Here is a 15,895-nt window from a genome sequence, read left to right on the forward strand (position 1 = left end):
TCTGTTCTAGCAGAAATAGCACTTATTTGTGACATCTATTGATCCATTTCCTTCTTGCTATATTTTTAAAAAGAATGAACCTCACAGCACGTTTTTGTTTTTGTTTTCCTGAGATGGAGCCTTGCTCTCTGTCACCCATGCTGAATTGCAGTGGTGCAATCTCAGCTCACTCCAACTTTCGCCTCCTGGGTTCAAGCAGTTCTCCTACCTTAGCCTCCTGAGTAGCTAGGATTACAAGCACCCATCACCATGTCCAGCTAATTTTTTTTTTTTTTTTTAGTAGAGACGGGTTTCACCATGTTGGCCAAGATGGTCTCAATCTCTTGACCTCGTGATCCACCGGCCTTGGCCTCCCAAATTGCTGGGATTACAGGCGTGAGCCATGGTGCCTGGCCACAGCATGTTTTTTAATTTTTAAATTGGAGGGATTGTTTCTTTATCAATTTATTATGATCTAATTTAAATACTCCTTTTAAAATACTTGGCTGATTCTCAAGTTGTAGTACATCAAGTAAGCATTTTAAAATGTCTTCTAATTTGACCATTCTACTCATAATCTTTATAATTATGATGAAAAACACAAGTCACTTGTTCAGTCATATCACAGCTTTCTTAAGAGATGAGGAAACAAACTTCTCAGGACAATCTCTTTGACCAGCTTTTCTCATTGGTGAAACAAAATGAAAGATTTCATTTCCATTTTTAATAATTTTGTTATTTCTTTTGCAAGTGATTGAAGCCAAGCAAGTTGCTAGACATGTTGTCACAAACAAGTTTCTGGCCATTTTGTAAAACAAAAAAAAAAGGACAGAAGTGCCCCAAATTCACCTTTTCTATCACCGGTCATGTCTTTTTTCATGTCCCTCTTAAATTAAAAATACATAGGAGGATGAAATTCCCTGCCTTTTGCTTGGAGGCATCATATTTTATGATTCTGTCCTTTTAATGCTTTGCATTTTCTCTCTGGGCAGAGAATTATATGAATCGATCGAAAGCAACTGCGATGATTCTTTTATAGTTTATTATAGAATAAAAAATCCTTTTGAAAGTAAAAGAAAGTGTACTTAAATGGCAACTGGTAACATTGCTGACACTTTTCCAACCTCTACCTCCTGGGTTCAAATGATTCTCCTGCCTCAGCCTCCCAAGTAGCTGGGATTACAGGCAACCGCCACCACGCCCAGCTAATTTTTGTATTTTTGGTAGAGACGGGGTTTCACCATGGTGGCCAGGTTGGTCTCAAACTCCTGACCTCGTGATCCACCTGCTTTGGCCTCCCAGAGTGCTAGGATTACAGGCGTGAGCCACTGTGCCCGGCTGACACTTTTCTATACTGATAGGAATCTTCATGATCAGATGTTGTCAAATACTTTTAAAGTTTATATATAACATTGTATTAATTAAATCATTTCAAGAGGCTGTACCTACAAGCATGTCTATAAGGACAATGGTCACATTAAACTCAAAACAGAGAAGAAATTTATTTACACTTGGGTGTATTCTAAGTAGACTATAGTAGGCCAAAAAAATTCAGAAGATAAGCTGACATAGTACGGACTCTGGAATGTGTCAAACATCTACTCTCGTAAACACACAGACTTTCAGGTAGGAGATATAAATTTCTCTCTCTGCTATGTCTATTATCTTGCCAAACAGCCCACTTAGTTGCATAAGCCCCTGCACTCTGCAGACAGCTTTTAAAAGAAACCTAGAGTATGTTGAAGTTCAGCTGTATCACTAACATTTCCATCACTTTTTTGAACTACAGCTTTAATTTTCACGACTCAACATAGAATCAGAATATACAAAAGAAGTTAAGACAACACAAAGTAACAGCAGTAATGTCAACAACATTTATACATGATAGATTAGATAGACAGACACACAGATAGATAGATAGATAGATAGATAGATAGATAGATAGATAGATAGATAGATAGATAGATGAGATAGGTAGATGGATGGATAGATGATAGATAGATAGATAGATAGATAGATAGATAGATAGATAGATAGATAGATAGATGGGATAGATATGATAGATAAGATAGATAGATGAGATAGAGAGAGAGGGATGGGATGGGATGGGATGGGATGGGATGGGATGGCATGGGATGGCATGGGATGGGATGGGATGGGATGGGATGGCATGGGAGGGGATGGGATGGGATGGCATGGGATGGCATGGGATGGGATGGGATTGGATGGGATGAGATGAGATGAGATGTATGTATATGACTCTGTTTTGCCTCGTCTGAAAAAGATGATCGCTCAGTCATGAAGCATTTATACTTCTGGTATTCTTAATATCAGAAGAATCCCATTAATGGCAATTAGATCAGAAAAACAAATACTCCTCTACCTGGATCCATACTTTCTGTATGATTTGGTTTGGTTTTCTGCCTCACTCCATGGCCAAGGTGCTAATTATGACTGATATGTGGCTCTAAAGGAGGAAAGGTGGCTACCATAAATTACATAAGCATAGAATTAAATAAATTATATTTTAAAAAGGTAAGAAAGACTCAAACTCATCATGTTCTAATTATTTTACTATACTTTATTATCTGTGTTCTTGAGGTTATGACTATCATATTCATGTGCCACAGTACTTTTTAAAATTTTGCATTCAGTGGCATCGTGTTGGTAGCTCGAAAGTGACCATATTAGAGAAATTTACACCACAAAAATCAGCAAATGCAACCTGTCAGAACTCCCCTTACTATATCGCCCCCTACATACATTCCAGAGAGCCTACTGTTTAACATTCACCAGCACATTATGACAAAGGATCAAAGCCAAGAAAGAAGTTTCTGGAAATTTGTAATGAACTCTAAGCCCAGACAAAGAAGCCCAATATTCTGCCAGAATAATGAAGAAAATAACATCAATTTGATTGATGTCCTCCTGGGTGACTTCTGAGAGAAGCTCAAACTATTTTGATTCATTTAATAAAAAATAGTTAACACATAAAGAAAAGTATAAGGATATTATAACTAAGCACCTTTTATACACCATATAAATTTTACAAATATTTGTTACTATATTTTATTTAAAAACTATATATGAGACCTCAAAAAGTTCATGGAAAAATATAATTAAAAGAATAAAAAATATAAATAGTATTTTTCTACATAAGCTCCAACAAATTCAAAATAAGTAAGTGATACCAGTGATGATACCAGCCATTTAGTCCATTCCTAAGAAAGTGAGTCCTGAGAATATAGTTATGTCAATGCCGTCGTTTCTCCATTATTAACTGAAGAAAAATTGGTGCCCTTTAAAGGTTTTTTTAATATTTTGAAACACAAAGAAGGAACCAATCAGAACTGTAATGCGGATGTCTAAAAATTTCCTATGAAAATACTCATAAAATTGCCCTTGTTCAATAACAGGAATGGGGCAGGAGGATTGTCGTGGTGGAGGAGGGCTCTCTGGTGAAGGTTTCCCGGGCGCGGGGGTGGTTTCTGCTAAAGCTTTGGCTAATTTTCTCAAAAACACTCCCATAATAAGCAGATGTTATTGGTTTTTGGCCCTCCAGAGAGTCAACAAGCAAAATGCCGTAAGAATCTCAAAGAAATCTTTTGCCATGAGTTTTGCTCTTGACCAGCCCAGTTTGGCTTTGAACAGACCAATTCTACCTCTTGGTGGTAGTTGCTTCAATTGTGTTCTGTCTTCAGGATCATACTGGTAAAGCCATGTTTCATCTCCTGTTACAATCCTTTGAAGAAATTCTTCATAATCTTGATCCCACCTGTTTAAAATTTCCATTGAAAGCTCTGCTCTTTTTTGCAGCTGATATGGGTGCAACAGTTTTGGCAATCATTGAGTGGAAAGTTTGCTTAACTTCAATTTTTCAGTCAGAATTGTGCAAGCTGAGCCAATTGAGATGTTTATGCTATTGGCTATTGTTTCTGCTGTTAATTTCAGTCCCCTTTATTTGGGGCACAAACAAGATGAATTTTTTCCTCAAAAAATGACATGAATTGTCTGCCCCTGCAGGCTTCATCTTCAATATTGTCTCGTCCCGTTTTAAAATTAGTTTTCCATTTATAAACCACTGAATCCTTTGAGACATTGCCCCCATAAACTTTTCTTAATGTATCAATCATTTTACCATTCTTTTATACAGGATCTACCATAAATTCGATGTTTGCTCTTGCTTCAACTTTAGCAGAATTCCTGTTGCTCTGATAGGGGCTCTTTTCAAACTAATGTCTTATCCTTCTCTTTGTGCTTCAAGCTAGATGCAACTAGATCCTGTTCAAATATGTTGTAACAGCTTAGTACAAGTTTATTTTGATGCAAAAAGTTTTTGAAATCCATGCATAGTATTTTTTCCATAAGCTATTGGGTTACACGTGGTATTTGGTTACATGAGTAAGTTCTTTAGTGGTGATTTGTGAGATTTTGGTGCACCCATCACCCATATATACATTGCACCATATTTGTAGTCTTTTATCCCTTGTCCCCTCCCACTCTTCCCCAAAAATCTCCAAAGCCCATTGTATTATTCTTATGCCTTCACATCCTCATAGCTTAGCTCCGACATATCAGTGAGAACATATGATGTTTGGTTTTCCATTTCTGCATTATATCACTTAGAATAATAGTCTCCAATCTCATCCAGGTCACTGCAAATGTTGTTAATTCATTCCTTTTTATGGCTGTGATATATATCACCATTTCTTTATCCACTCACTGATTGATGGGTATTTGGTTTGGTTCCACAATTTTGCAATTGTGAATTGTGCTGCTATAAACATGTATGTGCAAGTATCTTTTTCGAATAATGACTTATTTTTCCTCTGAGTAGATACCCAGTAGTAGGATTGCTGGATTAAATGGTAGTTCTACTTTTACTTCTTTAAGGAATCTCCAACTGTTTTCCACAGTGGCTATACTAGTTTACATTCCCACCAGCAGTGTAGAAGTGTTCCCTGTTCACCGCATCCATGCCAAAATCTTCTGTTTTTTGAGTTTTTGATTATGGCCATTCTTGCCAGAGTGAGGTGGTATCTCATTGTGGTTTGGACTTGCATTTCCCTAATCACTACTGATGTTGAGCATTTTTTTCATGCTTGTTGGCCATTTGTATATCTTCTTTTGAGAATCATCTATTCATGTCCTTAGCCCAGTTTTTGATGGGATTCTTTGTTTTTTTCTTACTGATTTGAGTTCGTTGTAGATTCTGGGCATTAGTCTTTTGTCAGATGTATAGATTGTGAAGATTTTCTCCCACTCTGTGGGTTGTCTGTTTACTCTGCTGACTGTTCCTTTTGCTGTGCAAAAGCTCTTTAGTTTAATTAGGTCCCAGCTATTTATTTTTATTTTTATTGCATTTGCTTTTGGGTTCTTGGTCATGAAATCCTTGCCTAAGCTGATGTTAGAAGGGTTTTTCCAATGTTATCTTCTAGAAATTTTTTTTAGTTTCAGGTCTTAGATTTAAGTCCTTAATCCATCATGAGTTGATTTTTGTATAAGGTGAGAGATGAGGATACAGTTTTATTATCCTACATGTAGCTTGCCAATTATCCCCGCACCGTTTGTTGAAAAGGGTGTCTTTCCCCACTTTATGTTTTTGTTTGCTTTGTCGTAGATCTTGGCTGTAAGTATTTGGGTTTATTTCTGGGTTCTCTATTCTGTTCCATTGGTCTATACGCCTGTTTTTATACCAGTACCATGCTATTTTGATGACTATGGCCTTATAGTATAGTATGAAATTAGGTAGTGTGATGCATCCAGATTTGTTCTTTTGGCTTAGTCTTGCTTTGACTATGGGGGCTCTTTTTTGGTTCTATATGAATTTTGGAATTTTTTTTTCTAATTCTCTGAAGTATGATAGTGGTATTCTGATGGGGATTGCATTGAATTTGTAGATTGCTTTTGGCAGTATGGTCATTTTCACAATATTGATTCTACCCATCCATGAGCATAAGATGTGTTTCCATTTGTTCATGTCATCTATTTCTTTCAGCAGTGTTTTGTAGTTTTCCTTGTAGAGGTTTTTTAACTTCTTTGTTGGGTATATTCCCAAGTATTTTATGTTTTTGTTTTCTTTTGTTTTGTTGTAGCTTTTGTTGTAAAAAGGGTTGAGTTCTTGATTTTATTCTCTGCTTGGTCACTGCTAGTGTTATAGGAGAGCTACTGATCTGTATACATTAATCTTGTATCCAGGACTTTGCTGGATTTTTTTTTTATCAGTTCTAGGAGGTTTCTGGTAAATGATGACATCGTCAGCAAACAGGTGACAGTTTCACTTCCTCTTTACTGATTTGGATACCCTTTATTTCTTTCTCTTGTCTGATTGCTCTGGCTAGGACTTTGAGTACTATGTTGAAGAGGAGTGGTGAGAGTGGGCATCCTTGTCTTGTTCCTGTTCTCAGAGGGAATGCTTTCAGCTTTTCCCCATTCAGTATTATGTTGGCTGTGGGTTTGTCATAGGTGGATTTTATTACATTAAGGTATGTTCTTTGTATGCGGATTTTGCTGAGAGTTTTAATCATAAAGGGATGTTGGATTTTGTCAAATGCTTTTACTGCATCTATTGAGATGATCACGTGATTCTTGTTTTAAATTCTGTTTATGTAGTGTATCATATTTATTGACTCCTGTATGTTAAACCATCCCTGCACCCCGGTATAAAACGCACTTGATCATGGTGTATTCTCTTTTTGATATGTTGTTGGATTCAGTCGGCCAGTATTTTGTTAAGGATTTTAGCAACTATGTTCACCAAGGATATTGGTCTGCAGTTTTCTTTTTTGAAGATTCATTTTGGAGCTGATTTCCAGTTTTATTATACTGTGGTCTGAGAGAGTGCTTGATATAATTTCAATTGTCTTAAATTTATTGAGGCTTATTTTTATGGCCTATCATATGGTCAGTCTTGGAGAAAGTTCCATGCACTGTTGGATAGAATGTGTGTTCTGTGGTTGTTGGATGAAACGTTGTGTATATATCTGTTAAGTCCATTTGTTCCAAGGTATAGTTTAAATCCATTGTTTCTTTGTTGACTTTCTGTCTTGATGACCTGTCTAGTGCTGTCAGTGGAGTATTGACATCCCCCACTATTACTGTGCTGCTGTCTATCTCATTTCTTGGGTCTATTAGTAATTGTTTTTATAAATTTTGGAGCTCCAGAGTTAGGTGCATATATGTTTAGAATTATGATATTTTTCTGTTGGACAAGGCCTTTTACCATTATATCCTGCCCCTCTTTGTCTCTTTTAACCACTGTTGCTTTAAAGTTTGTCTTGTCTGATGCAAGAGTAGCTACCCTGCTGGCTTTTGGTGTCCATTCACATGAAATATCCTTATTCATCCCTTTACTTTATGTGAGTCCTTATGTGTTAGGCGAGTCTCCTGAAAACAGCAGATAATTAGTTGGTAAGGTCTTACCCATTCTGCAATTCTTTATCTTTTAAGTGGAGCATTTAGGGCATTTACATTCAATGTTAGTATTGAAATGTGAAGTACCATTGCTTTTGTCATGCTCTTTGTTGCCTGTGTACTTTGATTTTACTTTTTGTTTTCACTTTCTAACTTGTATTTTTGTTGTATGTGTCCTGTGTGATTTATGCTTTAAAGAGCATCTGTTTTGATGTGTTTCCAGTATTTGTTTCAATATTTAGAGTTCCTTTTAGCAGTTCTTGTAGTGGTGGTTTGATAATGGCAAATTCTCTCAGCATTTGTTTGTCTGAAAACAACTGTATCTTGCCTTCACATATGATGTTTAGTTTCACTGGATACAAAATTCTTGGCTAGTAATTATTTTATTTGAGGAAACTGAAGATAGGGTCCCAATCCCTTCTAGCTTGTAGGGTTTCTGCTGAGAAATCTGCTGTTAATCTGATAAGTTTTCCTTGATAGGTTACCTGATGCTTCTGTCTCACAACTCTTAAGCTTCTTTCCTTTATCTTAAGTTTGGATAACCTGACGACAATGTGCCTAAGTGAAGATCTTTTTGTGATGAATTTCCTAGGTGTTCTTTGTGATTCTTGTATTTGGCTGTCTACGTCTCTTGCAAGGCCAGGGAAGTTTTCCTCGATTATTCCCCCAAACATGTTTTCCAAGTTTTTAGAATTCTCTTCTTCCTCAGGTACATTAATTATTCTTAGGTTTGCTCATTTAACATAATCCCAGACTTCTTAGAAGCTTTGTTCATATTTTCTTATTCTTTATTGTCTTTGTTGGATTTGGTTAATTCAAAGACCTTGCCTTCGAATTCTGAACTTCTTTCTTCTACTTGTTCAATTCTATTGCTGAGACTTTCCAGAGCATTTTGCATTTCTAAAGGTGTGTCCAAAGTTTCCTGAATTTTTTATGTTTTTTTTTTTTCTTTAAGCTATCTATTTCCATGAATATTTCTCCCTTTACTTCTTGTATCATTTTTTGGATTTCCTTGCATTGGGCTTCATCTTTCTCTGGTCCCTCCCTGATTAGCTTAATAACTAATGTCCTGAATTCTTTTTCAGGTAAATCAAGGGTTTCTTCTTGGTTTGGATCCATTGCTGGTGAACTAGTATGATTTTGGGGGGGTGTTGAAGATCCTTGTTTTGTCATATTACCAGGGTTGGTTTTCTGGTTTCTTCTCATTTGGGTAGGCTCTGTCAGAGGGAAGGTCTAGGGCTGAAGGCTGTTGTTCAGATTCTTTTGTCCCCCTGGGTGTTCCCTTGGTGTAGTACTCTCCCCCTTTTTCTATGGATGTGGCTTCCTGTGAGCTGAACTGCAGTGATTGCTGTCTCTCTTCTGGGCCCCACCACCCAGCAAGTCTCCCTGGCTCTGGGCTGGTACTGGGGGTTGTCTGCACAGAGTTCTATGATATGAACTCAATGGGTCTCAGCTGTGGATACCAGCGCCTCTTCTGGTGGAGGTGGTGGAGGGTGCAATGGACTTCATAAGGGTCCTTAGTTTGGTGGTTTAATGCTCTATTTTTGTGCTGGTTGGGTTCCTGCCAGGAGGTGGTGCTTTCCAGAGAGCATCAGCTGTAGTGGTGTGGAGAGGAACTGGCAGTGGGTGGGCCTAGATCTCCGAGATTATATGCCCTTTGTCTTCTGCTACCAGGGTGGATAGGGAAGGACCATCAGGTGGAGGTGGGGCTAGGCGTGTCTGAGCTCAGACTCTTTTTGGGTGGGTCCTGCTGAAGCTGTTGTTGGGGATGGGGGTGACATTCCCAGGTCACTGGAGTTATGTACCAGGAGGATTAAGGCTGCCTCTGCTGAGTCATGCAGGTTGTCAGGGAAGTCGGAGAAAGCTGACAGTCACTGGCCTCACCCAGCTCCCACGCAAACTGAAGGGCTGGTCTCACTCTCACTATGCCCCCGTAACAGAGTCAGTTTTTAGGCGGAGGGTGAGAATGGCTTGAAAATTTGCTGAATGCTATCCATCTCCCAGCCCCCAGAGAAAAGGGCTTTAGTTCCTCCCCCTGCCTGTGAAGTCTGCAGGCCAGATTCGCGCCCTCCCCTGAGTTCTGGCCAGGAGGCTTCTTGCCCTGTTCAAATGGTTACAAAGTTCAGCTAGAGAATTCCTTCTCCCTGTAGAGTTTTACCCCCTGCTCCTCTGGCCGCCCTCCGGATGGATCTTTGTGTTGCCAGGCAGGAATGGGCTGCTTGGGGACCCAGTGAGCTCCGAGGGCCTTTCTGCTGCTTCCTGTACCCCTGTATTTCGCTCAGCTCTCTGACTTGACTCAGCTCCAGGTAAAGTCGGAAACTTCTCCCACAAACACCTTCAGCTTCTCCAGTGGGGGTGTGTGTTCGGGACACTCCCTTTCCCACTTGCACAGTTGGGACACTCATAGTATTTGGGGTGTCTCCCGGGTCCTGCAGGAGCAGTCCGCTTCCTTCAGAGGGGCTGTGGGTCTTCTTGGGATTGCTACTTTATTCTTGAAGTTGATCTGGAGCTAAAATTCACAGTGCAAGCCTCCGTAGGTTGCTCTGCCTGGAGCTTCAATCTAGTCCTGCCTCCTGTCCATCGTGATCCCCTGAATCTCAGCACACATAGTATTTTTGATAATACATATTTTCCATGAAGTTTTGAAGATCCTATGTATTTAAATTTATTTTCACCAATTTTATTTCTCTTCCTCATATCCCAGAGTTAACTAATTTTCTAAACTTGGTGTTCAGTACTACCATTTTTGTTATTTCACACACTACATAAATATCTAATACAAAAACACTATCTTGTATTGCACTGACAAAATATATACGTATTTTTAGAAACTTCTTGTTTTTCATCTTTATTTGTAATAATTGATTCATGTTGATTCATAAAGCTTTGCTCAGGTATGGTTAAACAACTGCTAAATTCCAGTATTCTATTGTATGAAAACGCCAAAATTTGTCTATCTAATTTTTGACTGATGGTCATTTCTAATTTTGCCTCATAGCAAAAAGTGCTACAGTGAAAATATTTGCTTTATATACAAGTCTTTATATAAAAGTGCAGTGGATTCACTAGGCTACATACCTACACACACATACACATGTAATTTTTTACTTTTTGGGTTAGTGGATTTTTCCCTAGATTTGTGTTGCCAAACTGCTTTCTCTTATGTTGATACTGATTTATATTCCCATCAGATATGGGAATTTATTTCTTTTTTCTTTTCTACATCTGTATCTTCACCTGGTACAGTTACCTTTTTAAATTTTGAGGGAAATGGTTTATCACGTGTGCTTATTGGATTTTTCTCTTCTCATTAGCGAACTGATTTTTCTCCCTGTGCTAATTTAAATTTACTCTTTGGAGAATTACCTGTTATTTTTGTGAACATAAAAAGGTCAAATTGTCAAGGCAGACTCACATGGATTAGTGCTGTTATCCCATGTCAAACTTCACTGATAAGTACAAGGGTACAAGTAAACACAAGCCACTTCCAGAAAAGCAAGGAGTGGCCTGGGACATCTATGACAGCTGCCCAGATCCTTCCTTTTCTTATCATCACACTCTGTCCCAGGTTAATAAATAGGGGGACAATGAAAAATGTAATTTGTGTATTTAATGTTCATTGTTTTTAAATACCATATGCTTAAATTATTATATAACATATAAACATAATATCCCTATTTAAAATAGCAATTATAAATACCAAGATAGAAACCAACAATTCCTCTGCCTTCACACGCCACTCCTATTATCATAAACAGTTCAGTATGAATAGTTTTTCATATCCTTTCAATCCTACTAATTTATGAATAAATAAATTAAAACTTTACTTGGTTATATTGTTTCTAAACACATTAAATCCATACCTATTACAAAAATCTCTAGTTAGTAGTTTAGGTCTATATCAAATTTAAGAGAAAAAATTAAAAAATGCCTTCAATATGAATGATTCCATTGTTAATGATCATTACTTTTTTGTGCATATGTCCTTTCAAATGTTTTTAGTTTAAGCTTTACTAAAATATTTACTATGAGCTGAGTGAAATGATAAGTTTGGTTCAACTGGTAAATTGCTCTATTTTTGCTTAAGACAAACTATCTGATACTGTTCTTTATATTAAGACTCACTTTGTTAAGTGAGAGTTTTCTTAAATGGTCTGTTTCATATAAAATATCTAAATTGTTTAAAGCCCTTACTAAAGTTACTGTATAAAAGTAATTCATACGGACTACATTTCTTGACACTAATGGCATATAAAATAAGCAGTACAAATGCATGAAGAATGAGAGATTTTTGATAACTTGACTTAACGTTTCATAGATTCATTCTGTAGCTAATTAGTTTTTCTTAAATTCTGCTTAGTCTAGTAGCAACTGTGGGCATAACATTTTTGGCATCGCGAATCAGACATTCTAGATTAGTTGGTAATGATAAAATGACTTTTGGTCCTGAACGCTTACTTTATTCTACTTGTATACATCGTGCATAATATTTTTAAGAAGTAAAATATGCAATGAAAAGTATTCTACAGAATAAAAATTCTGGCAGTGAAATGTATTAACAGATATTTGAAGCATATTTTGTAAAATGTGTATTCCTTTGCAGAAAATATAAATTGACGTTATGATGTTCAAATACTATTGATCTTGTGTTGGGTTAAGATTTTTAGGAGTATAGTTTATAGCATTTCAAATATTTTTCTGCAAAGCCAGCATTAAGTTATTTCTAAAAGTTTGATCTATTTAAAAATGCTAAGATCTTGATTATTGGCTCTCTAAATCCTGCAGTTCAGGACATTTTGAACAAGCTGCAGAATTCTAAAAGACAGAATACGTATTGAGAAGAATATAAAATAGCCAAAAGCCAATGGGTTATCCTTATGCCAGTCATAGTATAAAGTATTCAAAAACACTTGTTTAATTTATGTTCCAGCTAATATTTGACAGTTATTACATAGAAACACATAATAATATGATTTATTTTATATGTGAAAAGATAACTTTACAACTTTATGAACAGCAGGTAAATTGAGGAAAGATGCTACTAGCAGTAAATATGCTCACAGTCAGACTGAAACCTGAGTCTCCTTTGAAAATTGATTATGGGCTGGGTTCAGTGGCTCACACCTGTAATCCCAGCACTTTGGGAAGGTGAGGTGGGCAAATCACTTGAGCCCAGGAGTTTGAGACCAGCCTGGGCAACACAGGGAGACCCCCTTCTATAAAAAATAAAAAGAGAAGAAAAGAAAAAAGAAAATTAATTATGGATAGATATCAAATTGGAAATTACCATTGATTAAATGGATTGTTACTGTTGTTGTCATTGTTTTCTCAATTAATTGCATTAATATGAGAGACTCCTGAGGGTACATCCTATGGTTTGGTGAAAAGAGCAAATATTAATAATTTGGGATCATAAGAACCAGTTGTATTTCTCAATAATAGTATAATTTCCAGCACACAGCATTGTTAAAACTAGAGTTATATCTGCAAAATACTAGCTATATTTCTATGCAATGTAGATATGTTGGAAATAAAACTGAAAAAACTTTGTAACTGCACTTGAAGAGCTTTCTGATCTTCTTATCAAGAAAGTTTTCTTAAAATGCTAATTAAAAGGAGCATTTAATCAAAGAATCCAATGTGCCTGGTGTGTAAGGCATTCTTTTTCATGGTTTTAAGACATTTTCACAAATGGCATCTATACACAAAACTGATAATGATGAAACATCTTTAGTCTGCCATTCTTTAAGAAATTATGGTATGAGTTCATACTTATTAAAAAATTGTCTATGATGATGTTTATTTCTGCTTATATAATCTTATGAAAATTGTATTAATAAGAGGGGATGTTTAACAAACCTATTTTAGAAGTGTTACATCAATTTCACTGCCTTTTCCTAGAGAATTAAGAATGAATGTGACATATAACGTCTAACCCCTAATTTGGAAATTAAATTTTCATATTTATTTAAGTTGATTTTAGTCCAAGTTTTGAAATGTGATTAGACTAAATTCATAATTTAAAATATTTTTGAAGGAATCCATTAACTGATCTTGTAACCAGGATTTTTGTGTGACAAATGATAATAGTTATATTAGGTATCTCTACAAAAAATATTGAGGATTTTTCAGTGTCATACAAGCCATGCAGTACTGATCCATGCTTTTATGAACCCCCTCAAATAACCTTGCTGCAATGGGTCATATACTGGGCTTCACTTTGAAGACCACCCAAAATCTCCATCTGCTCCACACAGAATTGCCATCCTGCTAGTATGTATTCCATGGTCTACAGCTGGTATTAAACACATTCATTCACGAAGCAATTCAATATGATAATTTTCATTTAAGTCAAAAGTAAAATATTATTATAGCAGTTACATTCACGATTATCCCAATTTCCAACAAATACTCCTGACAGCCAGCTTTGGTCTCATTGCCATAATATCAATCTCTATATTATCATTTCTAGAGACAGATGCACATGCTATGGCCATGACCATAATTCTCCTCTTTAGAATGCAGTGGCTGGCTTTCTGTGCAGCAGATTAGACACTCTATTAAGTCATATAGATGATAAATGATAAAAGATAGATAGATAGATAGATAGATAGACAGACAGACAGACAGACAGATAGATGGTAGATGGGGGTGGGGGAGTGAGGGGAACCAGGCTTTTGGTTATGAACCTAATCTAACTTCCTGTGTGACATTAATGTAACTCTCTATTGAAGAGTTTCTGTACTTTTGACTAAATCTCTCAACTAGAGCTATAATATTTCAAAATTTCCAGCTTTCTGACAAACTAGTTGAATAAGAGACCAGGTCTAAGAGCAGAGATGAGCTGTAGCCCTATGAGGAAAATGATCAAAATTTGGAAAATTGAATGTACTTAGAATAGTTGATTACAGATAGCTATATTCTTCCAAAATCTTCTTCAGTAAATAGACTTTTAGAATACAAATGTACTTTAAAACTTTCAATATATGTTTAGAATGATACAACAGAAATAAAAATCCTCATTCTTAACTTTAGAAATTAAATTCAGATTAGAGGGGTATTAATTAATTTTTGAAATTTTTGAGTCAGGAAAACTTTAGCAAAAAACTAGTATCATTTTATCACAATACAGATGAGGAACTTCAGCCTTAAAGATACTAAAATTTATGGCTAATGAATCAGGTCTAAAACCCAGATCTAATTACTTACCAGCTTATAACCAGAATCAAAATGTGTGTATTTATTATTTCTCCCCAATTCACACATTTTTACTATTCAATTTGTGGTTTATTTTTAACTTGTAGATAATTTGTTTTAAGATTAATAGTCTAGATATGAATATGCCTCTTTTAATAAGTATTTTAAACCTCAAAATATCATAACTATTTTATAATGCATCACAGTATTTAGGAGATTCTTTGAAGGGTTTCTAAAACAACTTTTATAAAAATAGTGATATTTGTGTTTATATCCACCTCCAAAACTACACGTTTGCTTATATTTCAGAATATTTTGAAAAGAAGAAATTTATAATAAAAGTAGCTGCTGTTCACAGAACATCACTGTGTATCTGACAGTGAGTTGAACTCTTGAGGAATGTGTGTTTTATTATTAAATTCTCACAACTTAAACCATGTTAATCACTGTTCCTTCCATTTTACATAGGAGGAATCTGCATAGATTAGACGAAAAAGTTAAAAGGAGTATGAATGAAAAAACTACGTGTACAAGATGTCCAAGATGAACAAAACTATACAATAAAGTTCATTTCAATATACAACATGTATTATATTCAACAAGGCTCAAATTTTTTGATAAAAGGAAACAGAGACCTCTTTTTCTAGCAGGAAGATATTTTTCTTGGGATGTTTTGTTTATGCTGGCTTGAATAACACTATGGTGAATATCATAAGATTAATTCATTTTTAACATCTCTGTAAAAGCCAAGGATGCAGTGTGTCCGTGGGGAATTTAAATCATACATTTTAACACACATATTAAAATTATGGATTCTCAAGTAATGATAAATTAACAGAACCCTTTGAGTTTTTTTTAATTATAAGGCATTTTTTGTTTGTTGGTTTGTTTCTGTTTTTTGAGACGGGGCCTCGCTCTGTCATCCAGGCTGGAGTGCAGTGGCGCGATCTTGGCTCACTGCAAGCCCCGCCTCCCTGGTTCAAGAAATTCTCCTGCCTCAGCCTCCCAAGTAGCTGGGACTACAGGCACCCGCCACCATGCCCGGCTAATTTTTTTGTATTTTTAGTAGAGACGGGGTTTCATCATGTAAGCCAGAATAGTCTCAATCTCCTGACCTCGTGATCTGCCCTCCTTAGCCTCCCAAAGTGCTGGGATTACAGGCATGAGCAACCACGCCTAGCCAATTATAAGGATTTTTAATTAAGAAAATTAATTTTTTTAAATGTGACTTTTTATTTAATTCTTTGCTAAATTAACTGTATACGGGCCTACAAGAAAAATATTCTGTTTCCATTCAAAGTAAAAT

General features: G+C 36.1%; 1 long non-coding RNA gene across 2 annotated transcripts in view; it reads left to right on the forward strand.

Moving 5' to 3' along the window:
* LINC01697 (long intergenic non-protein coding RNA 1697) overlaps positions 1 to 15,895 on the forward strand; it is an 89,196-nt gene that overhangs the window by 32,410 nt on the left and 40,891 nt on the right. The window contains exon 1 of one of the 2 annotated variants that reach the window (NR_126011.1): positions 9,580 to 9,698. The exons of the other annotated variant lie outside the window; for it this stretch is intronic. This is a non-coding gene — a long non-coding RNA (long intergenic non-protein coding RNA 1697). Of the gene's footprint in view, positions 1 to 9,579; positions 9,699 to 15,895 lie in introns of those variants that run through there. 2 annotated transcript variants of the gene reach the window in all.

The sequence above is a fragment of the Homo sapiens genome, chromosome 21 (genome assembly GCF_000001405.40).
Source record: "Homo sapiens chromosome 21, GRCh38.p14 Primary Assembly".
NCBI lineage: Eukaryota > Metazoa > Chordata > Mammalia > Primates > Hominidae > Homo > Homo sapiens.